At 37.4% G+C, this 24,978-nt stretch overlaps 2 protein-coding genes and 1 long non-coding RNA gene across 14 annotated transcripts in view; 2 read left to right on the forward strand and 1 right to left on the reverse strand.

Moving 5' to 3' along the window:
• CLEC12A (C-type lectin domain family 12 member A) overlaps nucleotides 1–490 on the forward strand; it is a 54,883-nt gene extending 54,393 nt beyond the window's left edge. Inside the window, exon 6 of the mRNA XM_047428402.1 lies at nucleotides 433–490. Within this exon, the coding sequence (XP_047284358.1) occupies nucleotides 433–436 (4 nt within the window). The 3' untranslated portion in view covers nucleotides 437–490. The remainder of the gene's footprint in view (nucleotides 1–432) is intronic.
• On the forward strand, nucleotides 549–13,140 carry CLEC12B (C-type lectin domain family 12 member B). Of its 11 annotated transcripts, none has more exons than XM_047428832.1 (7): nucleotides 549–567; nucleotides 5,139–5,190; nucleotides 7,125–7,223; nucleotides 8,863–9,081; nucleotides 9,592–9,746; nucleotides 9,952–10,067; nucleotides 12,671–13,140. In XM_047428832.1, exons 3-7 carry the CDS (start codon nucleotides 7,187–7,189, stop codon nucleotides 12,819–12,821), a joined length of 678 nt encoding a protein of 225 aa, XP_047284788.1. In that variant the 5' UTR covers nucleotides 549–567; nucleotides 5,139–5,190; nucleotides 7,125–7,186; the 3' UTR covers nucleotides 12,822–13,140. The 11 variants fall into 11 exon arrangements, 10 of the variants coding, with proteins under 10 accessions (XP_047284788.1, XP_011518960.1, NP_001306170.1 ...); XM_011520658.3 differs by lacking the exon at nucleotides 549–567 and adding an exon at nucleotides 3,362–3,526; NR_135049.1 differs by lacking the exon at nucleotides 549–567 and having other exon boundaries at nucleotides 4,967–5,190; nucleotides 9,952–10,214.
• LOC102724020 (uncharacterized) lies at nucleotides 9,226–24,963 on the reverse strand. 2 transcript variants are annotated; one of them, NR_169587.1, is made up of 4 exons: nucleotides 24,883–24,963; nucleotides 22,139–22,314; nucleotides 10,413–10,488; nucleotides 9,226–10,113 (listed from the first exon to the last, which is right to left on the reverse strand). It is a non-coding gene; the product is annotated as an uncharacterized LOC102724020 (long non-coding RNA). The 2 variants fall into 2 exon arrangements; NR_120484.1 differs by lacking the exon at nucleotides 10,413–10,488 and having other exon boundaries at nucleotides 9,692–10,113; nucleotides 22,255–22,438; nucleotides 24,883–24,946.
• Nucleotides 24,964–24,978: the final 15 nt, after the last annotated feature.

Below are 24,978 nucleotides of genomic sequence, written 5' to 3' on the forward strand. Positions count from 1 at the left end.
CATTTTAATTGGGATATTTTATTATGCTGGTCAGGTATATTCACCTGATGGGGTAAATATATTAATACATTTCAAAATAAATTCCATCCTATATTCATCCTCTGTCTCCTTCTTGTGGCCATTTATTTTCCTTCTGCTTTTAGTTTATTTTTGTTTCCTTTAAGTCTTTGATACCTCTGGCTTTCATCTTCACTTTTCCCTATTTCTTTTTTGTAAATAATTCGGAATTAATTGTCATTCTTGCCATTCTCTGGGTACTTTCCCATTTAAACCCCACTTTAAAAGTGTCCTCTGAAATAGGCATGAAATGTGAGAACAGAAAGAACAGAGTGAGAATGAATCCTTCTGTCATGTTAACTCAATATTTCTTTTAAGATCTTCTAAATCAATAATACTTCCACATTTAATAACTGTGTTTCCATATTTTCCAAGGTGAACAATATTTTCTGACAAGTTTAATTCATGTGAGAGCAGCAAGAATTGTCAAAGGTGATTCCAAGTTTTTAGCTGAGAAACTGTACGTATGGAGTGTACATTTGTTAAGATGAAGAAACACATTGGGAAAAGGTACCCATTTTTTGATGTGTTAAGCTAGAAAATCCTATAATATATCAAAGTGAATATGCCAAGAATCCATTCAGATACGTGGTCCTGTAGATCAAGCGCTGGTATGGAGATAACAATTTTTGGACATTATCAATGTATGGCTGTTATCTCAAGGCACGAATCTATAAGAAATTAATTCCCATTCTGGCCATTCTCTGGGTACTATTCAATTTAGTTCATTCCAGGATAAGTTTTTTGTTTTTTTTTTAAGAAGACCAAGAATTGAACTCTAGGACACAACAACATCTTAAATTAATTTAAAGAGGAATCAGTTAATCTGAGGGAGGATTGGGTTGTGAGTGAAGCAAAAGGAAAACCAAGAGAATGGTGTCCTAGGGAACAAAGCATTTTGGAGAAGAAAGTTTGTCACGAAAAGTGAATAATCAGTTATTTAAAATTCTGTTTATACGATGTGTAAGATGAATCCTGAGAACTAGCCATTGGATGTGTTTATACTGAGGTAATGTTGACTTTAGCAGGAGTGTTTTTTAGAAATAGTGAAAGAAGGGCCAGGCGTGGTGGCTCACGCCTGTAATCTCAGCACTTTGGGAGGCCGAGGGGGACAGATCACGAGGTCAGGAGATCGAGACCATCCTGGCTAACACGGTGAAACCCCGTCTCTACTAAAAATACAAAAAATTAGCCGGGCGGGGTGGCAGGCGCCTGTAGTCCCAGTTACTCTGGAGGCTGAGGCAGGGGAATGGCATGAACCTGGGAGGCGGAGCTTGCAGTGAGCCGAGATCGCGCCACTGCACTCCAGCCTGGGCAACAGAGCTAGACTCTGTCTCAATAAAAAAAAAGAAAGAATAAAAATAAAAAAAGAAAAAAAAGAAATAGTGAAGGAAAAAGCCTAATTAGAATAGGTTTGGGAAGATCATAGAGAAATTTTTGAACCCATTTGTTGTTAAGAAAATTAGAGAAATGGAGTGATCATGTGTATGGTGTTACGGTGAACAAAAGATGGCTTCTGCTTGTTTTAATATAGGAGATATTATATCATCTTTGGAAGTGAACATAAGTGAACAAGTAGAGATGAAAAAAATGGAAAAATTGATAGAAAGAGAAAAAGAAGGAAAATTACAAGCTTGAAATCTTTAAGGAGATAGGTGGATGGATTTTAATATACAGATGGAGATTGATCTTAGATGAGTAGTACAATTCAACCACTGTTGAAAAGAATACTACCTCATATACTGATGTAGCTGTTTTGGTATATTTGACTAGTGAAACAGAGAAAACTTCTTTCTGAATTTCTTTTTTTTCTTAAGATAATGTTAATGGAAAAGCCAGGTTATCCGTTTAGTTTGTAGAAAGAGAAGACAGAAAGAAATTTGAGAGTCTGAGAAAGAAAAAGAGATTGGGAATAATCTTTTAGGAGATTTGCAGAACAGATTGATTAGTAAGAGTGCTGAGAAGTTACATTTCAAAAACGTAAGATAAAACCAGTTAATATGATCACATTCAGCTACTTGAATGTATGCACAGAGTAGGTAGGGTTGGATTTAAACAAGCTGCATTTTCTAGATGCTTATGATGAATGAAGAGGTAAGCAAGGAAGTTGTAGCTGTGGGTAAGAAAACGATTTTTATAATTGGCCCTGGTAAGTGGTGCATGCTGGGTATAATAGGAAATGAGACATGAGGGATTGACAACAATGAGAAGTTGGCATGGTCAGTGAAGTTGCTATCTCAGTGGGCACTGAAATGCTGTAGAGTGTAGAATACCCAGAGAGAGTGGGCTGGAAACATAGGAGGTGGAGGTCAGAGAGTGAAATATCTGAAACAGATCATGGAAGAATTTCTCATATTGGAAATGAAATTGTCTGCACTCTAGTGCAGTGCTGTTCAATAGCCACGTTGCTAATAATGGAAATGTTATTTACCTGCACTGTCCAATTGCATAGCCAATGCCACCTGTGGCTGTTAAGTACCTGAAGTATGACTAGTGTGACCTAGGAAATAAATTTTAAATTTAATTTAATTTTAATTAATTTAAGTTTAAATAGCAATTATATGCCTAGTGATTACTACGGTGAATAGCCTAGCTCTAAACTAGGATCATCTAGTGGGTGACTGATTTTTGTGTGTGAGCAACTGATTTCTGAGTGTGGGTAAGGTTATTGGAGGCAAATTCAAGAACTGAGAGCCCATAGTATTGGAATTATCACCTACCTGAATGTCGAAATCACATGATAATCATGATAGGAGTAGAGATCAATAAGATTTAAGATAGTTGAAAAAATAATGAAGAAATAAGGAGAATTTGGTAAATGACTGCAACAAAGTGAGTTTTTAAATAGTGTAACTGATAAAATAAGCTACAGAAATGCTGTAAGTTTTTAAGGGAGAAAAGTATATAAAGAAATGTCTAAATTAATATGATCATACACTAATAATGATAGATGATATAGCTTTTTGGATCATAATAATAGAAAGTATGTGAGAAGTGTTATCAATCTTCTCTTAGAAATAATTAGGAATCAGGTGACATTCTTCATCATTGTTCAAGCTAAGCATCATTTCATGGATAGTGAGAAGTTAATACTTTGTTAGGAAGCTTTAAGGTATGTGAAAGAATTAAGGAAATGAGGATGAAAACCCAGTTTTTGCAAAATCTGGTGAAAGTCATGAGACGTGAGGCCAGCCAGACTTCCTGAATCGAGTGGGGACTCAGGGAACTTTCCTGTCTTACAAGAGGATTGTAAAACGCACCAATCAGTGCCACGTAAAACGCACCGATCAGCGCTCTGTAAAACGCACCAATCAGCAGGATTCTAAAAGTAGCCAATTGCGGTGAGGATTGAAAAAAGGTCAGTCTGATACGACAGAAACGGAACATGGAGGGGACAGTAAGGAAATAAAAGCTAGCCACCCCAGCCAGCAGCAGCAACCCGCTTGGGACCCCTTCCATGCTGTGGAAGGTTTGTCATCCTGCTCTTCACAATAAACCTTGCTACCACTCAGTCTTTGGGTCCGTGCCATCTTTAAGAGGTGTAACCCTCACCGCAAAGGTCCGCGGCTTCATTTTTGAAGTCAGCGAGACCAGGAACCCACCGGCAGGAACCAACTCCGGACACGGACCAGAACAGAGATAGAAAACCATTCTTAATTTCTTATTTTTGTAATCATCTATTTAAACTGGTCCTCATGTCAATGGTCTCTGCCTTTTCTGAATTCAACTAGAATAGTAAACATAAGCATAGATTTATTATTTGTTTCAATATTTTTGATAGTGGAGTTTTATTGATATATGACTTAGAGCCTCCAAACATTTTTTTGATTATTTCATCAATTTGAAAAAAAAAAAAACAAAAAACATGAACAAGTAACATATGTATATTTAGGTGTTTAGAGATCATGCACAGCGTTCCTAAAGAGAAAGTTTTTACATTGCCTTTCTGCATCTGCTTCACAGCTGTGGGGTGAGTGCACCTCACGCTGGACACCTTTGACTAAGATAATCTCCACACAGATATGAACCTTGGAAGTTTTAGATCACTCCCCACTCATCTGAAACCACAAAACTCATACCCAATCCTTCCCCTAAGTACAGTTATCTAATATTCTGCCTCTCCCCAAAGGAAAGCTTTAGAGGAGATTCCTTAATTTCGTCCCTCATATATAGCGCTCCCCCCCCATATTTTCCTGGGTTCTGTATTAACTACATATTGCTGCTGTAACAAATTACCACAGATGTATTAACTTCCGGTAGTTATCTTTTTAAAATCTTGTCCTGTGTATTCCTTGCTGTCTGCAGGATTATCCCATGGTTGTTGTTCTGTTAGGAACTTTCCCAACCATGCCAGAAGAGGGCACTCCCATTCATACTCACGTTAAGTAGCTAAGTAGCTATCAGTTTCTTCTCCATGCTCCATTACCAACACCATGTCTCTCTCTCTCTGTCTCTCTCTCTCTGTCTCTCTCTGTCTCTCTCTCACACACACACACACACACACACACACACACACACACGCTTGAATTTTCTATAATAGCAGCCAGGTGTGTGGCACAGCTCTTTCTGTCTTAATGTGTGTCTCTCTGCTTAATATCTAATGTGGCTGAGAATAAACTAGAACCAATGTCTCCAGGCAGATTAGCTAGCCTTAGATAGATGTAAAGAAGACAACCTGACTCTTTTCTGAAACATTCAGAGCATCCTCTACCCCGAGGATCATGGGAATTCCCTCATGTTCCTCCTGCTCTGCCTCAAGCACCCCTTCTTTGCTGCACAGCAAGAAACAGTTCTGACAGAGCAGACAGTTTGAGATCTGTAACATTCTAATGAGAATATCTCTAAGGAGAATATTTGGCTTTTCTCACTTTCTCTGTAGAGAAACAAATTGTCATTCTTCTCTTACAGAGGGGCAGTAGAGTGTGTCTGGGTCAGCTGAGTGACTACATCAAAGCTCCCAGCCTTGAAAAACACATGCTGTTCCCAGGCCTCAAGATATTGAAACATTAATTAGATAATTTAAAGTAGCGTTTTCTTCTACAATGTCTGAAGAAGTGACCTACGCGACACTCACATTTCAGGATTCTGCTGGAGCAAGGAATAACCGAGATGGAAATAACCTAAGAAAAAGAGGTAGGAGTTCAGAGAAGACCAGCTGTGTCCTTGGGGGAGTGGACAGGTGTTAAATGCTTTGAGGTGCCAGCTTTAATACTGGCGTTAAAGACATGTGCTGTGAAATCTCCAAAATGGGGACAAATAGTTGTGGAATGTATTAGAAAAGTGAGTGTTCCCAAGGTTGAAGTGAAAATATGTGGCTTTCAGAACCTCTTTAAAGTTGTGTGATATCACACAGTCAGAGAAATTCTGACTGCACATGCCAGAAATTGAGCTTGGGGAATTAGAGATTTCTTCTTATGAATATAATCCTTGATATTTATACCTTGTTAGAGATGCCAGGAGGATATTCTTTCAGAAACCAGATTGGAGGCTTCTAAAATAGAGAAGGTAGAGGACGTTTTTCTTTTAGATGATGTAAGTTACTTAAGAGAAAACTGGAAGATGAGTGAGTGGATTAGAAATAGATCAGAGCTAATTTTTCTTTTGTCAGTATTTTTTCAAATTTTAGGGTAGTTGAAATCCGAGCATAATTTGTAATGTTGAACCAGTAATAATAGTATCTGGGTAGTATTTTATGTACATTATATACAGATATAATTGTAATGAAAATCCACAATAATATTCGAATATTAGTATTTTCTCCATTACATAGATGAAAAAACTGAGGGTGAGAGAAATTAGATAATTTAAGCAAGCTCACACAACTGCTATGTGGGGAAGCCCAGTCTCAGTGCTGGTCTTCAGCTCATTCTCTTATGCCTAATTGGAAAAATAGCAGTCTCCATGGTCAAGACTCTGATTTAATATATAAGACCACATCTCTTATTTTCAGATATGTTAACTATCCAGGTTCTCCTGAATCATGTCAGTCATCTGAACTACTTTCTCCTGCCCTCTAGATTTATCTTTACATTTTGTGTGGTGCATGACATTTGAGGGAAGGATATTTACAAAAAGCCGATGGGAATAGACTTTGCATATGTCTAATAAATGTGGTTACACATTTTTGCCTTGTTTTGTTTTACTTTTTAATTCTAATTCTAACCTGTGAGGAAAAAGGAGGTGTGGATATGGTGCATATCACAGTGTACCTAGAGTCTGTCATGCTGTATCTAAAACATTGCGCTAGATGTTATTTGGACCTAAATCAAGGGATATGAAGCTAAGGAAAACATGACAACCATTGATATTTTAAACAACAACAATGACTAGGATGCTAACGGCTTTCTGGTCTATTCTGCTGTTTGTAGGTTAGACTGCACATTCTTTCCTTCTTTCATTCAGTATTCATTCATTATTTATTAGGTGATAAATAGCATGAATAATAGATAAGTTATTGTTAACAGGTAAAAGATACTTTAAAAAGTCGAATCCACTTTTACAAGGCAGATAGAACATGTGCCTTATAGAGACTTTTGAGCTCAAAAGCTTGAGGTGTCTCCTACTGTCAGCATCATCCAGAAAAGCAGTTTTTAGATCTCTCATTTATGAATTCAATAAACTTGAGGAAGAAAAGTGGGCAATGATGTAAAACAAAAACCTTGAAATTAGGAGAAGCTTCCTTTTTATTTTATTATTATTATACTTTAAGTTTTAGGGTACATGTGCACAATGTGCAGGTTAGTTACATATGTATACATGTGCCATGCTGGTGTGCTGCACCCATTAACTCGTCATTTAGCATTAGGTATATCTCCTAAAGGTATGCCTCCCCCCTCCCCCAACGAAGCTTCCTCTTAAAGTGAAGGAGAGCGGTGGAGAAATGGAGGGGAAACAAGGATGGCACCCTCATTGCACTTCATATTAGGTATTTTCTAAATGAGGGCATTAAAGAAGCAAGAAAGAAACGTTAGTATCGGGAAGCTCCCTAAGTGGGAGAAATAAACAAACCAAAGTGAAACAAGCACAAAGCAGTTCTGTGTGCTGATTGCTCTTTTGGCTTTCTCCAGGGCATCCAGCTCCATCTCCCATTTGGCGTCATGCTGCTCTGGGTCTGGTAACTCTTTGCCTGATGTTGCTGATTGGGCTGGTGACATTGGGGATGATGTGTAAGTATATCAGCATCAAACCCAACAAAGGCAACTAGAAAACATATTGTAAACCATGTACTTTCAGCTTGGATTGTAGATGGGTCCTAGCATCCTGAATCGTCTGATACTTTTCTGCTGTCTCATATCTCTCCTATTCGTCATATCTTCCCAAAAAACCGGCAAAAGACATTATCAGGATTTGGTTCTAAATTCATTGTTTTATCTTGATAAGCTAAACTGGACTTAGACAAAGACTCTTTGTTTCCAGTTATTCATTAGAATAAAGAGCCTCTTTTCTGCCTAGACACACATTCACTTATCATTCCAATGCTGAGAAATAAAGTCAAGAAATATGTATTGAAGGAAGTGCTTGCTATTTTTATTTACCTGAAAGACTTAACACTAGACTAGGTTCAGTCTGCTTACATGAAACTTCTCTAGTGGAGAGAAATCTTCCAAGTAGCAGCAGCAGCCTGATTTCTATGAATGAGAAAGACATATAAACAAAGAGGAAGAGTGGCCTGATACACCTTACCAAGTAAGAGAGTTGAACCATCTCCACATGACAATGGAAGCTCCACTCTCAAGCACCACAGCCACAAAGGAACATTCTATTGATTCTGACCCATCCTCGGGAAGTTGGGGATGAACATGGTAGGGAGTTCTTGAGTAATGAGAAAAACATCCTGAGAATACAAACTTTATAGGGTTGTTAAGTATATGGTATACAGAGTAGTGAATTGGCATGGTATTCGCTTACAGGGAACTCACAGTCAAGAAAGTTAATTTGCTGAATGATACTAACATCTCCTCTGCTACATTCATTTCTTTTTAATGATTTAATGGATAATTTTTTAGGATTTAATGGTTAATTAGGATTTGGACATATCTTTGCCAACATAAAAAGAGACTAATGATGTACCTTGCTCTTTTGAAAAGGAATATGATGTTCAAGCAGCAGTAACAGATATTCTGGAGCCAATCAGTATGAGGATTAGCAGCCGATCTTCTACAATAATGTATATTTAAAAATTAAGTGAAAATGCAATAACGTACGTCCATTGGTTCGATATAGAAGGGTGACATTTCTTTTCTAAAATTTAGTGCTTTTGGTGCAGTGGTTCTTAAATTTGTTGTGCTGATGAAGCACCTTAAATGCTTATGAAAAGGGCATATTTCATGGACCCATGACGAGAAATGGTCTGATATGCCATTAAGATCTGCTTTTTCTTTTCTTTTGGTAAACAAGCATCTCAGGTCATCTGCAGAGTTTGAGATATCCATTGTCCCAAAGAATGCTGTTTTCATTAAAACAACAATTACATCATCTATCTCCAAATAAAATAAAACAAAAATAAAACAATTTCATGAAAATGAGTGGCAGAATGACTGGCCCTTCCTTAGATGTGATGTCAGAAATATATCATTATTAAATCATTATTTTAATATAGTGCAATAATAAAAATGTAAATAAAATTATAAAGAACTATAAATAATTTGGAATAGAAAGGCATCTGGTTTGTTTCTTTCATGATACCTCAAATACTAAGAGCTACTAATAAATCTTGAACAATTAAGAAATGTTTCTGTCACGAGAATTATCTACAGTTATAAGAATAGAAGAATATATGAACTTGTCTCCTGTCATGTCTTGGAGTTTTGCAGATATCTAATGACATTAACTCAGATTCAGAGAAATTGAGTCAACTTCAGAAAACCATCCAACAGCAGCAGGATAACTTATCCCAGCAACTGGGCAACTCCAACAACTTGTCCATGGAGGAGGAATTTCTCAAGTCACAGATCTCCAGTGTACTGAAGAGGCAGGAACAAATGGCCATCAAACTGTGCCAAGAGCTAATCATTCATACTTCAGGTAATCAGACTTAGTCCTGCTGACCAGTCAGATGGCATATGTTATCCTGGTCTAAGTTGATCACATGTACCACCTAAGAGTATTGAGAGAGTTATGTCATCCAGTGAACCTTAATGATGTTGCACTAAATTTACACACAGCAAGGAAATATACAAATTCATTTAATATTTTTGAAACCACAGGCAAATTTGGGAAGTATCTTGGAATGATATCAATCTGGATACTTCAACCCCTCATTTTATTAACTATTTCTAGGTGATCATGTTGCTCTGAAAGCTTAAAGGCATAGCTGGTAATTCTGAGGTCAGAAGACTAAGCCATGAAAAGAGAATCCCTGTTGCCCCAACCCATAACCAGGGGTCACTTTTTTTTCAGAGGCTTCTAAAGCAGTATGCTTTCAGGGTGCAGGCTCTCAGTCCCTATTGTTCAATTACATGATTTTGTTTCAAAGCCTTCTCCAGTCACTCTAGAGTCTTCAGTTTATATTATTGGGTATAATTTCCTTTTCAGACCACAGATGTAATCCATGTCCTAAGATGTGGCAATGGTACCAAAATAGTTGCTACTATTTTACAACAAATGAGGAGAAAACCTGGGCTAACAGTAGAAAGGACTGCATAGACAAGAACTCCACCCTAGTGAAGATAGACAGTTTGGAAGAAAAGGTAGGATTGAGTCTCATTCTCTAGTTATAGACATTATCCATACAATGAGAGAGAAATAAATAAAACATCTGATTCACATGATGGAAATTCAGTGCATCTTGAATTAGAATTAATACATGAATTTAATGAATGTCCTCATCTATCTTAACTCTGCAAACTGGAATGTGGCGCTCACGTAAAACTTTTTCTCTGTTTTCTCTCTTAGGATTTTCTTATGTCACAGCCATTACTCATGTTTTCGTTCTTTTGGCTGGGATTATCATGGGACTCCTCTGGCAGAAGTTGGTTCTGGGAAGATGGCTCTGTTCCCTCTCCATCCTTGTACGTCTCTAACTATTGAGGGTAAACACAAGCTTTCCATGGAATCCTGGGAAAATTAATAATGATTGTGAGAATTATAAATACAGACATAAAAAGAGGAGTACAACATACTGAGAAAAGAGCTCCAGTAACAAATATTGAAAGGAGGTATAGTTCATTTCATCTCTGTGACAAATTTATAGCAAGGCACTGAATTTTATCTTTTGGTAGAAATGTGTTTATTTAACACACACACACACCTAATACTACATTCAAAGTATTTTATAAATACTAACCCTTGAAGAAAGCAGTTATATTCCCATTTTATAGGTAGAAATATTATAATAGAGAGATTAAGTAACTTGCCTGAGGTCACTCAGCTCATAAATTGCACTTTAGGGATTGTGCACTCAGTCACTCAGCTATTCTGACTCTCCAGCACCTACAATCCAAAAGGGTGCTGCTGGTCATAAGAACACATATCAACACATTTATTTATACTAAATAACTGTCAACCATTTTCTAACAAAAAGTAAGACTGAATTGACTGATTAGTTCAACAATTAGTGTCATGTTGAGGACTTGCCAATTACAATATACGGCAAGTGTCTTTTATGAATTAAAATGAACTAAACCTTCCACTTCAGGGTTTGGATGAAACTATTTAAAGGACAAATAGAATATATAACACTTGGAAAATTTCAATTTTTTTAACTATTTAAAGTTATGAAAAAATAGACGTCAACAAAAATGTGTAAGGGGATATTAGGTTTGCTAAATTCTTTCACAGACTATAAAACAAAAAATTTTGAGGAACACCTCTCATCATAACTACATTTAAATGAAACAACTGTATTAATATTTTAAATATAATAGTATTTTTCTATTAGATAAAATTTAAGATCTTTGGCATCTTAATGGATTTTTAAACTTTTTATTGATACATAAGAGATGTATATGTTTTGGGGTATATGTGATAATTTGATACATTCAGATAGTGTGTAAAGATCAAATAAGTGGAATTGGGATATCGATCACTTTAAATATTTATCTTTTCTTTATGCTAGGAGCATTCAAATTATTATTTTCTCATTATTGTGAAATGTACAGTAGATTATTGTTAATTGTATTCACCCTAATAATCTATGAAACACTAGGTCTTACTTCTTCTATCTAACAGAATATTTGTATTCATAATGGCTTTTTATCTACCTTCCTCCCCCAACAAATCATTATCCACCCCCCTCCCTCCTGTTTCACTCTTTAAAGCATGTTGTCAACGTTTTCTTAAACTGAATAATAATCACTCATCTTCTGTCAAAGATGCCATGCTTCAGCTGTGACTCAGCAGTTCCTTAAATCACAAACAATGGTAGGTCTATTATTTTCTCCCTGGATACACTTTATCTTCATCCATTTCCCAATGTTTTGTCATGGCTATTTCTACTCAAACACTAATCCCCCATTCTCTAATCACCATTATTAATCATATCAAGTCAATTAGTTTGGTTTCACACTAATAATAATGACAAAAAGCACATGCAGAGTAATACACAAACAAAAAAAGTGACAGTTACTTTTTTGTGACAAGAGCAATATTGGGTATGAACTGATTAATATTAATCTGAGGTGTTGCTACTAGACTGAGGGTTTCCAGGAGTAGTACTATGACATCATGTAAACACATTCAGTTTTCATGTTGGAATCTAAGATGTGTCCCTTCTCCCAAAGGGATTTTAATCATTCTTGGCCTCTCTACTCACTCTTAATCAAAGTGTGGAGGAGGTGGCCCCCACAGCAGGGTTTGGAACCTACAGACCCTGGCCCCTGAGACATGCAGCTGTCAGACAAGCCAGCATGTCAAACACAGGTTAGAGAGACTGAGCTTCCAGATTGCATAGCCATTTCCTTGACTACTGAGTAAAGGCCAAGGCTAAGATTTAGTAAGCCTAGCCCTGAAGCAAGCAAAGAATATGGCAGTGTAATGCAGGTCATTTAGAAAAAAACAATGTTGGGCACAAAGAAAATTTAGATCTGACAAGTATAATTTTCTAAAGACATTATTTCAGGATTAACATCAATTTCTTAGCAGAGGAAATGAATACTATTGTCAGAACCATATCTATATAGTCAATCATTTCCTCTTTTAACGTCTGTCTTGTTCTCTTTTTACCCACCACATATGTATAACTATGTGAAAAATTATATTTGTGCATAATAAAATGTGATAACTTTTTACAACAGAATGTGATTTTATTTTTATGTTTTTCTTCATAAGGTCCCAAAGAACTTCAAGTACTTCTAATATAAGCTGAACTGATTAGATTTCATTAATGGAATTACATATTTATGAAGGAAATACAAATTCTCAGTCCAGGATTTAAGTATTTCTCTTAAAGAATTCTACCTGGGATTATGATTAACTTAAAATAAAGAACCCAGATGTGCCAGCTCTGGGCAGATTTTGTGCCAGCTTTAGGCAGCTTCAGATTTTGAAGCTTTGTGGAGGCAGAAGTCTCTCCATATTCAGATACATGACATTGGCTGTAAGAGCAACTGAGGGCACTAAATAGTGATCACGTTTCAAATACAGAATTTATAATTAATTTTAAATTAATTTTCAGATTTAGTACTAAAGAACTTGACCAGATCAATGGATCCAAAGGATGTGCTTATTTTCAAAAAGGAAATATTTATATTTCTCGCTGTAGTGCTGAAATTTTTTGGATTTGCGAGAAGACAGCTGCCCCAGTGAAGACTGAGGATTTGGATTAGTATGCTTCTTCCAAATTCTCCAAGAAGTAAGAGACTTGTGAGTAAGCTCATATGAGGAAAGAGGAAACTACGGTACCAGAGCCAAACCAGCTTTTAAAATGACTGTGTATTTACATTATCAGACAAATGAACTTGTTTAACAGAACATTCTCCAGTTCCTTGTCTGACGTCTTCTGATTTGATGTTATTATTCGGTCTTAAAATTATACCTGGGGACAAAGGGGAATAGCCATACTATGGCCCTATGATTGTCTCAGAATCATTTCACTGAATTTCTTTGCTTTCTCAAATAAAGACTCCTTTCTTTCATTATTATTATACTGTCACGTGTGCACTAGGGTGATATTTAAATATTTAAAAACTAGGGTGATATTTAAATATTTAAAAACACAGGCCACAGCACTAGAACAAGGTCCAAGAGATGCCTGTTGTGATAGTTGCTGGGTCATGTGGAGGTCTGGGGGATCCCAGGCTAAGGGTCCTGGTAGCTGGGGCTGCAGCACTGTATCAACTGATTTGGAAATATTTTATTTTAGCAAATGTTTGTACCACTGTGAACCAGCTAAGTGTCGCCCTGCACTTGCAAAATAGCTTTTCTTCTCCAACAACCCTATGAAAATAAGCGTTCTTATTAATCTTTAAAATTTAGATAATTTATAATCTAGGCATAATAATTTAATATTTACTTTTTTTTGAGACACTGTCTCACTCTGTTGCCTAGGCTGTAGTATTGTGATGTGATTGGCTCACTGCAGCCTCAATCTCCTGGGCTCAATCGATCCCTCCCACCTCAGCCTCCCGAATACCTGGGACCACAGGCATGCAACACCATGCTCAGCTAATTTTTGTATTTTTTTGTAGAGACGAGGTTTCACCATGTTGCCCAGGCTGGTCTCAAACACCTAGGCTCAAGCTATCTGCCAGCCTCAGCCTCCCAAAATCCTGGGATTACAGGTGTGAGCCACTGCCCCTGGCCAATATTTATGTGTTTGTCATTTATTTAAATTAGTAATATTGATGTTATTGATTTTGTAATCTGGGTATTATTATAAAAATATATTCTCTTACAATTGATATTTTGTTTCCCTCAGAAAAGTCCTAATAAACTGTTTGAAGACATCAAAATAGAAGAACCATTATCTTTAATTATTTAGACCTTTCCTGAATCACAGTTTGTCAGTGTTCCTGCACACTAGATGCTAAATATTGTAAATCTAGGGTTCAAGATTTTTCCTGGAACAAAATTGCTGATTTCAGAGTACTGGTAAAGGATGTAGTTTTCCATTTATCTTCACATAGTTCCATAGCTATATATAGGAAGAAAATAATGATAAATTAGCCTTTGATACTGATTTTGCTAGATCAGAAATCTAGAATTTACTGGAAAATTGATATAATCTAAATTCAAAGTTAGATGCATTTCAATACTTTGACAGTCCTTTGAAACTACCACTTCATACATACCATCTAGTAGCTTCTTATTCTCTAAATATTTAAAATTATCAACTAATCAATGTTTTATATAGGCACCAACAGAAACTCTAGAACAAAGGAAAAATGTCAAGTGTGAAAATTTAGTAAAAATTACAAACAATATATTTAAGCACAACTTTTTAAATACAGACAATTATCATAGTTCAAGTAAACAGTGTTTCTTAGTTCTTATACGGGATTCAAACATAAGTTATATACACATGGATTAAAGAAGAAACTTGATTCTTCCATTTCTCTTTAGCAGTTTGCCCCTGGCATTCTCACAAAGATAAAATTATTTCTTAAAGGTCAAAATCTGTGCCTCTGACTCTCACACATTTGGGTTTCGTTTTATTCCCATGAGAAAAATAAGTTCTTTCATTCCTCTATTTCTAATTAAAAAAATCTACTTTTAATAATTAAAATACCTTAGTTGGTTATTTTGTTCCTATTAAGAAGTTACAGGTTTTTTTTTCTGGTATCTTGTATATTTTAATTCTCATTTCATGTAAACTCTTTTATACTCATTAAAAGAAAATTTCTGTTTCTGACCTTACAGTGCTCTGGATCTTGATCAGCTCCTATTACTAAGAGCTCCCTCCCTGCTGCCCTGCTATCATCATATTATCCCTGACGACCTCTACAGTAGATGCATAAATCCAGAGTTCTCAAGATTCACTAGCCCTTTGTGTCAGAATACTTCATCCTTTGATTCTGATAACTTAGCTTATGAGACAGGACTTGATTCCAGAAATTTTCATCTCTTTCTTTTTCTTTCTTTCTTCCTCTCCTACTGCCCCTACACCCTCTCCAGTCAAAATCCCTGAGATATTTTATTTATATATACAGGTATATACAAATGGTATATTTTTAGGGGAAAGACCATTGATATGGTTTGGATCTGTGTCCTTACCAAATCACATGTCAAGATGTAATCCCCAATGCTGGTTGTGGGGCCTGGTGGGAGGTGATTGGGTTATGGGAGCAGATTTCTCATGAATGACTTAGCACCATCTTCTTGGTGCTGTTCTCATGATAGCGAGTTCTCGCAAGATCCGGTTGTTTAAAAGTGTGTAGCATCCCCACCAACCCCACCCCACACCCTCTCTCCTGCTCCTGCTCCAGCCGTGTGAAGTACCCACCCCTCCTTCATCTTCCACCATGACTGTAAGTTTCCTGAGGCCTCCCCAGAAGCCCAGCAGTTTCCAGCATCATTCTTCCTGTACCGCCTGAAGAACTGTGAGCCAATTAAACTTTTTTCTTTATAAATTACCCAGTCTTGAGTATTTCTTTATAGCAATGTGAGAATTTAACATGGGTTCCAAACATGGCTTCACATCAGATTTACATGGATAGTCCCTTAAAGGCACAGATATTTGGGCCACGCGTCAGATCTATAAAATCAGAATGATTGGAAGACAGAAATGGAGAATCTGTAAGTTTCTCAAACTACACAGGTGATTTTTATTAACACAGCCTGAGTGGCAATGTTTGGATAAATAACCTCAATACTAACTCCCTGAGCAAATAGGCCCAGAGGCGAAGGTGCTGGAACCATCTTCAAACTGGATGGCTCTTTCTGCAACGTTAGCAAATTTGGTTTGGTTTGTGCAGACCACGTTAGGTCAGGACAGATCAGAATTGGGACAGATATAGTGACAGTTCTCAACTATTTCACTGTTGTAATCTTAGCCAACAAGCCCTTACTGAGGGTATTAATTGGCATGGTTGGGATGGACAAGTGATATGAAGTTTGATCTGTTTAGCTCTCTGAAAATAGTTCTCAATTTTGCTGCACACTGAAATTATACTGGGGAGCTTTGAGGAAATACTGATGCCTAAGATTGTCCCACCTCTTAAGATGCTGATTTCATTGATGAGAAGTGTAGCTGGGCTATTAAAAAAATTTAAATTTCCTACATGATTCCAATCTGAAGCTAAGGTTGAAAATCCTTGTACTGAGGTTGGCCCAATGGCCCCTATTTTCAGTAAAATAGCCAACCCTCCATTATATATTAAGAAAACGGGTGAACTAGCTCCATTGGTGATGATTACACATGGTTGAGACAGGGACAATAATGATGATTACCTGAAACTAGGATTGATGGTATATTCGAGGCTGCATACAAGCATATATAATCATACTTGTATACATTTGTATGCACCTGGAGAAGGATTTAGACACATTAGTAACATTGTTTTCCTCAGGGTAGGTATGATGGAGTCAAATTGGGAAGAAGGGGAAATGATACACTTTTGGAATGAGAATCCACTGTGAAGCTGAGGACTGAAATCAAGAGTCAGATTATAAATAGGTGGCCAAAATTAACAATGTGGTCCTCAAGCAAATATAATTTTTTATTCCACAGGTATATTAGTTTTACTGAACAAGTAACTACAAGTAATACACCTGTCTGTCTGACTTCCTAAACTTCCTTCCTTCTTTCTTTCCTTCCTTCCTTCCTTTCCCTGCCTCCCTCCCTCCCTTCCTCCTTTCTTCCTTCATTCTTTCCTTCCTTTCTCTCTCTCTTTCTCTTTCTCTCTCTCTTTTTGAGGGTATATAATAATATAAATATAATAAAACACATCTCCTCTCAGTTCTTTCAAAATATGTCACAGCTTTCAAGCAGGCGGAAGTATCCCAACCCCTTATTAGGAAGCAGTACAGCTTGGTGCTTAAGACAATAAATTTTTTAAATCAGACAGCCATGGGTTATGTTTTTATTCTCAATGTAAGTGCTGTATATTTTAGACAATGTCTCAGTCTGTTTTGCGCTGCTATAACAGAATGCCTTAGACTGAGTATTCTATCTATTTCTTGGCTCACAGTTCTAGAAGTTGGGAAGTGTAAGTTAAAGGCACCAGCAGGTTTGGTGCTTGATGAGGCCATTCTCTTCTTTAAGAAGGCAACTGTAACCTTGGGAACGGAGGAAGGTGGGATCCTCATGTGGCAGAGGGCAGAATGGCCAAGAGGCAAAAGGGGATGGAACTCATCCTTTTATAACAGCATTAATTCCACCCATGAGGGCTGTGCCCCTTAATGATCTCTTTGTTTGTTTTTATATTTAGAGACAGAGTCTTGCTCTGTCACCCAGGCTGGACTGCAGTGGTGCGATCACGGTTCACTGCAACCTTGAACTCCTGGGCTCAATTAATCCTCCTGCCTCAGTCTTTTGAGGAACTGGTAGGTACCACAGGTGGGCACCACCATGTTCAACTATTTTTCAAAAATAAATTTTTTGTAGAAATGGGATCTTGCTATGTTGACCAGGCTGCTCTTGAACTCCTGGCTTCAAGTGATCCTCCTGCCTTGGCCTTCCAAAGTGTTGAGATTACAGGTGTGAGCCGCCTCACCCAGCCAATCACTTCTTTAAAGTTTCACACTTTAATAACTATTATAATGGTAATTAAATTACAACGTGAATTTTGGAGGGTACAAGCATTCACACCATAGCAGACAGGGCTCTTAAATTATGTAAACCCTTTTCATAATAGGGTGACAAAACTCGTGCCCATCCTCTGAGATTTTTGTGAAGAAAACAAAAAGAGAGATAACCCACATGGTACAGTGAAGACCCAGTTAAGTTTAGCTGTTCTTACATTTACCATCCTCTGCTTCCCCTTAGAGAGCAGATTTGCATGATCCTTCCAGTCCCAAGAACATTCCTGCATTGGGTGCTTAGCTTGGTTTTCACCACCAATGATATTTTCCTTGGGAAAATTATCTCAGTGTAACTGAAAGGCAACAGTTTTTAAATACAAACACAATAATGAAAGTTGGTTCAGCGGCTGAGCATCAGCTCATCAGGGAAGAGAAATCATGGAGGGGAGCAACAGGGTGAATAGTAGATGGCAGGTAGCCCTAGGTAATTACCTGAGACAGGCACTATATTGCCCATGGACTATTTTTGTATCTTCTGTGCCCTTTGTGATGTGGAGGCCAGAAACGAGGTGGACAAGGATAGGGTCCAGACCCTTTCACCTTTTTGATTCCTTAGCATAGCACTGGAAATTGTAGGGAAACACTAATTGTTACTGTTATAGTTACCAAGGCCATTATTTTCAGTTCTCCAGCTTTCTTTGTTTCTAGACAGAATTTGTTTCTGAGAAAAATTACTCTCTATGGGTGAATTGATGTTGGCTTCACCAATCTTGTCCAGCCCATATGATCTGTAAGTTGTATTTTGAGTAGAGTAATTTCTAGGGGGCTCCATTCTCTCTTGTTCTTCAAGTACTGACCTTCAATTTCCAGTGCAAGAAGACAGTATTTGATTGTTTCTGTCTTTATTTTGAAGCTCTTTTGTGTCTAAATAGGACAAGTTGGGAAGGAATACCTCTCAAAACTTACAGAGCCAAAAAATGCATCAAGGAGGGTGGGAAATGAGTCCCAGGAAGGTGAATTGGACTGAAAACCAGATTTCTGGTCTCTCTTTATCTGGGTCTACCAAATGCACAACTGATATTTCGACAGGTGCGACTGGCAGCTGCAAATTATTCACTTATTTAACAATAGATTTTGTGTGTGTGTCAACCAAGTGCTAGTCGATATGCAAACCCTTGGGATAGATATGAAGATCAGCATGACAGGACCCTTAACCACAATAAGCTCAAAGCTAGGGGCAAAGGGGCCTACAATTTTTAAGATGGCCCTAACATGGCAGGAACTTGACAAATTCAATATGTGATCTCATCTGAGATCATTCCATACATGTGGAAACTAAAGCTTGATTTAGAACAAAGCTTGGCTAAGGTTTTACAGCCGGAAAGGGTGAAGTTAGGTTCTGAACCAGGTCCAATACATGCCAGAGCCCTATTATCTTTTCACAGAATCATAGCTGTGAGACAATGCAATGCAACAGAATATAGATTTATTATATATAATAAATAATAGATTTCAGCATGCTATCAGAACACAGAAGATGGTATGCAATGACACTTCCCATAAATGGTGACCCCACCCCAGGTGTCATCTTGTTTTAAGTATACATTTTATTACTTTTCCTAATTAAATCCGTCCTCAGCAATTTTCTTGCCTTATGTATTGCTATCTCCCCCCATAGCCCCTGTTGCTGGTCTGATGTTGACTGATTTGAAGCCACTAGGCATGCCATCCCTACTTGCCTGCCTCATTCATAAACATTTCTTCTTTAAAAACCACTTTATTGGGTATAATTGACATGTAAAAGCTGTACATACGTAATATATGCAACTTAATATTTGTAGATAAGTATACACACATGAATAAACCATCACCACAATGTATACCATAAACATAGGCATTATCTTGAAAAGTCCTCCCACCCTCTTTATTGTTAATATTTTTGTGTGATAAAAACACAACGTAAGATTTACACTCTTAGAAAATTCTAAATATACAATATAGTATTGTTGTCTATAGGCACTACGCTGTACAGTAGATCTGTAGGACTTATTCATCTTGTGTAACTGAACTTTCTACCCTTTGGCTAATACCTCCTCATTTCCCTCTCCTGTAACCCCTGGCAACCACCATTCTACTATCTGCTTCTATGAGTTTGGTTATTTGAAGTTCCTCATATAAATGGTATCATGCAGCATTTGTCCTTCTGTATCTGGCTTGTTTCACTTAGCATAACATCCTCCGTATTTATTCATGTTGCTGCAATGGCAGGATTTCTTTCTTTTTTAAGGCTAAATAATATTCCATGGCATGTACCATATGACCTAGCAATCCCATGACTGGGTATATATCCAAAGAAATTGAAATTGCAATTTCAAAGAGATGCCTGAACTCCTATGTTTATTGCAGCACTGTACACAATAGCCAACACACGAAAGCAACCTCAATGTCCATTGACATGTGAATAGAATAAAAATAAAATGTGGCATATTCATTTTATTAATTTAAACTATTTGTTTCTAAGAACTTTATATTTTAGGTTGTTAGTTAGAAATGAACAAAATAAACGCTTTTATTGCTCTATGAAAGCTTGATTCCTCAGATCTAGGCCCCCATTTGTGGTATATTGCACATTTGAATTTATCATAGGAGCAAAAGAAAGTTGTATATGTTGCAGGCTATGTTTACATGACTATGTTACAGAATTAACATTTATCTTTATTTCTTTCCTATATTCCTGTTAGAAGACAATAGGATTATAATTCAGTTGACAGAAATGTAGCTTATGGCAGTCCTTAAGTCTGTGTCTTAACTTTGGGAATTTTGGAGGCTGGTGAAGTATAAGTATAGCTTTTCCTCTGGCTCTTTTGCTAGAAGAGAAAGCAGACTTTAAGAGAAAATTATTGCAGCACTATTTACAATAGCAAAACTTTGGAACCAACCCAAATGTCCACCAATGGTAGACTGGGTAAAGAAAATGTGGCACATATACACCATGGAATACTATGCAGCCATAAAAAAGAATAAGTTCATGTCCTTTGCAGGGACATGGACGAAGCTGGAAACTATCATTCTCAGCAAACTAACACAGGAACTGAAAAGCAAACACTGCATATTCTCACTCATAAGTGGGAGTTGAACAATGAGAATACATGGACACAGGGAGGGGAACATCACACACTGGGGCCTGTTGAGGGGATGAGGGGCAAGGGGAGGGAGAGCATTAGGACAAATACCTAATGCATGCGGGGCTTAAAACCTAGATGACAGGTTGATAGGTGCAGCAAACCACCATGGCACATGTATACCTATGTAACAAACCTGCAGGTTCTGCACATGTATCCCAGGACTTAAAGTAAATAAAAAATTTAAAAAGAGAAAATTATAGATTCGCATAGCTGATATGGTTTGGCTGTGTCCCCATCCAAATCTCATCTTGAATTATAGCTCCCAGAATCTCCACGTGTCATGGGAAGGACCTGGTGAGAGGTAATAGAATCATGGGGGCGAGTTTTTTCTGTGCTGTTCTCCTGATAGTGAATAAGTCTCATGAGTTCTGATGGTTTTACAAAGGAGAGTTCCCCTGCCACCATGCAAGACATGACTTTGCTTCTCCTTTGCCTTCCACCATGATTGTGAGGCCTCCCCAGCCATGTGGAACTGTGAGTCAATTAAACCTCTTTCCTTTATAAATTATCCAGTCTCGGGTATGTCTTTCTAAGCAGCATGAGAACAGACTAATACAGTAGACAAAAAAAAAACCTACATTTTTAATCATAAAAGGAATGGAAATTACCAAAAAATGTCTCCTAAGGGATATAAGGGCATGCTGGTTATAAGAATTCTAACAGGAATTCCAACTCATTTTTTAAAATGAGTAATTTTTAATTTTCTAGTAATGCATATTTCAGTACATGCATTTTCCCAGTATTTGAAATTGCATAGACCTCACTTAATAATAGACCAGAACTTATAAATTTAGTCTTAGGTAGTTTGTAAGAGATGTAAACTAGTATCATACCAGGTATTATAATCCTGGCAAAAAAATAAGCTTACTGTATTCCAATCACTTTCATTATAGATCATCTGTATGAGGTTACCTCTAGGTAATCAGAGGGCTAAATAGGAAATTCATTCCATGGAAGCAAATCATTGTGGTTAAGGGCACAGATCATGCAATAAAACTGCCTGCCTGCCTGCCTGCCTGCCTTCCCTCCCTCCCTCCCTCCCTTCCTCCTTCCTTCTTTCCTTCCGTTTCTTTCTGTCCCTCTCTCCCTGTCTCCTCTCTCTCCCTTTCTCTTTTTCCCCATCTCGCTGTCTCTCTCTGTCTCTCTTTCTCTCTCTCTCTCTCCCCCGCTCTCTCTCCTTCTCTCCCTCTCTCTCTCTCCTCTTTCCCTCTCTCTATCTCGGATCACTTGGTAAACACCAAGACAAAAACCTGCCAAAAGAAAAAGGAATAGCTCACCACAATTTTCTAAGAACTTGACACACATCAGGGAAGAGATTGTGCCATCTTATAACAGTCACAATTTCCTAAGACTCTGACACAGTCAGAGGATTATGCCATCTTCCCACACTCACAGTTGGATATGCCATGTGATAACCCCAGCCAGGAAGGAGACAACAGTGAGACACAAGGTTCTGTAGAAGACAAAAGCAGAACATAAGCCAAATCGTCCATGATGCTGCCTCCTGGAGTTGACTTGACCATGATGAAATGTAACCGAAATTGACAATATTCCATGACACCACCACGGCTTCTGTGCTGTGGATGGACATTGAAAAAAAATGCACAAGTTAGGAAGTTGTTTTCTTATCCTGCCTTTTCCTCTGCCTCCAAACTCTATTAAATCCAATATAAATAAAAATCTCATTAAGTGTTTACTTTTTAAAGCTTCTTCCCCGGATCAGTCGTACATTCTCTTCTTTCAGCATACTTTTCATTTACCTAGACTGAAAATTTGATTCCCTAATGAAACGTGCTCTCCTAAAACTTTCCAAAGTATTGCATTTGATTGTCAGAATTGTCAGAAGGCAGGTGAGTTGTTGTGTAAACCTTAACTTTATACAATAACAATGTATCCACCTTAGAACAATTATAAATTCAAGATACGATGTATTTTTTAAATTATTCTCTTTTTTGGTTTATATTTTATTTTCTTCTTCTTGTACACTATTATTTCCCTAGATTCTCTTTTCCAGAATGATGTGTTAGATTTGGAATTCAATAATGAAAGACAAAAATAAGTATTTAAATGAGGAAGTATATATTTCCTCTGTCTCTTTTTGTTATCCTATTCAATATGCAAAACCAGGCTGTGTGATCTAAATCAAGTTTCTTATCCTCTAAAGCCTAGGTTTCATATCTAAAAATTAGGAATGATATTACCAGACTTGTAAGGCTGTTGTTTGCACACAAAGGAAGAATTAAATGTGATCATTTATAGACTCGCCTGAGAGCATAGTATTTTATTATTAGGTACTCAATAATTTTTTTAACTTACCCTTACCTTCTCACCTCACCTCTGTAAATTTTAACAAAAGACAGGAGACCTGCATATTTACCAATTCCTTATTCTCTATATTGAGTAAGGTAGAAATTTTAGAGATCCTCTAAAAATTTTTATCCTTGCTGTCTTGCCATGTTATGGATTCCTGAATTATTTTATATTACTGGTCTTTTGCTCCATTGCCACCTTTCAGGACAGGGCTTACATCCATTATCTGAAAAGCCAGACGTATATATTAATTATCTTGATTTCTTTATATTAAATATGGACCATTTAATGCAATGTTTGAGTTAGTCTTACAAATATCTCATTTCCTCCCATGTTCACAATAGCCAAAATATGAAAACAAGCTAAATGTTCATTTCATTGATGAACAAGTGGATAAAGAAAACATAGTGTGTGTGTGTGTGTGTGTGTATATATATATATATATATATATATATATATATATATATATATATACAAGAAAAAACTTTCCACAAGAACCTCCATGTCCTCATTTAGAATTTAATTTAATTTTTTACCTCACACACCTCTTTTTTTTTTTTTTTACTTCCACTTGACACCTTTCTGGGGTAATAGGTATGTTGTACCTGAATTCCACTCTCCCTCAAAATATCTGTCTCAAATTTGTATATACATTAGTAGGTATCAATCAGGAAGGTCTCCCTCAACCCATTCAATAGGCCCTGCCACAAAATTTGAAAAGTTTAAAAAATTCAGAGCCCTGCTTATGTACATGGGTGTACATTTTTGCAGACAAAAATCCCCTGTGCCCTACCTACTCAGCAATCTTCCCCCTTCCTATCAATCTTCCTCTTCCCCTGAATCATTGGTCACAACTGATCTCTTTGTTTTCTTTGTCTTGGTTTTTCTCGAATGTCATATAGCTAGGATAATATGATAGCTTTTCAAACCGGCTTCTTTCACGTAGTAATATGCATTTAAGATTCCTCCATGTTTTTCATAGTTTGACAACATTTCATTTTGTTGTCGAATGATACTCCATTGCATGAATGTACCACAGTTTGTTTATCCACTCATCTTTTGAAAGACATCATAATTACTTCTAATGTCTGGCAATTATGAATAAAGCTCCTGTGAAAATGTGTGTGCCAGTTTTTGTGTGTGTTGGGAGCAAGCCCCCCAAAATCCGGCCATAAACTGGCCCCAAAACTGGCCATAAACAAAATCTCTGCAGCACTGTGACATGTTCATGATGGCCCTAACACCCATGCTGGAAGGTGGTGGGTTTACGGGAATGAGGGCAAGGAGCAGCTGGCCCGCCCAGGGTGGAAAACCACTTAAAGACATTCTTAAGCCACAAACAATAGCATGAGCAATTTATGCCTTAAGGGCATGTTCCCGCTGCAGTTAACTAGCCCAACCTATTTCTTTAATTCGGCCCATCCCTTTGTTTCCCATAAGGGATACTTTCAGTTAACCTAATATCTACAGAAACCATGCTAATGACTGGCTTGCTGCTAATAAATACGTGGGTAAATCTCTGTTCGGGGCTCTCGGCTGTGAAGGCTGTGAGACCCCTCATTTCCCACTTCACACCTCTATATTTCTGTGTGTGTCTTTAATTCCTCTAGCGCCTCTGGGTTAGGGTCTCCCAGACCGAGCTGGTCTCAGCAGTGTGTACAGGTTTTCCACTTTCTATGGTTCCTAGATTGTCTGTTAATACTATACTTACCTCTATAAGAAACTGTCAAGTTTACCGGGCCGCGAGGGTGCAGGCTGCGCAGATGGTGTGGTCCTGCGCCCCGAGGGCCGCAGCAGCTCATCCGGC

This window comes from Homo sapiens, chromosome 12 (assembly GCF_000001405.40).
Source record: "Homo sapiens chromosome 12, GRCh38.p14 Primary Assembly".
Taxonomy (NCBI): domain Eukaryota; kingdom Metazoa; phylum Chordata; class Mammalia; order Primates; family Hominidae; genus Homo; species Homo sapiens.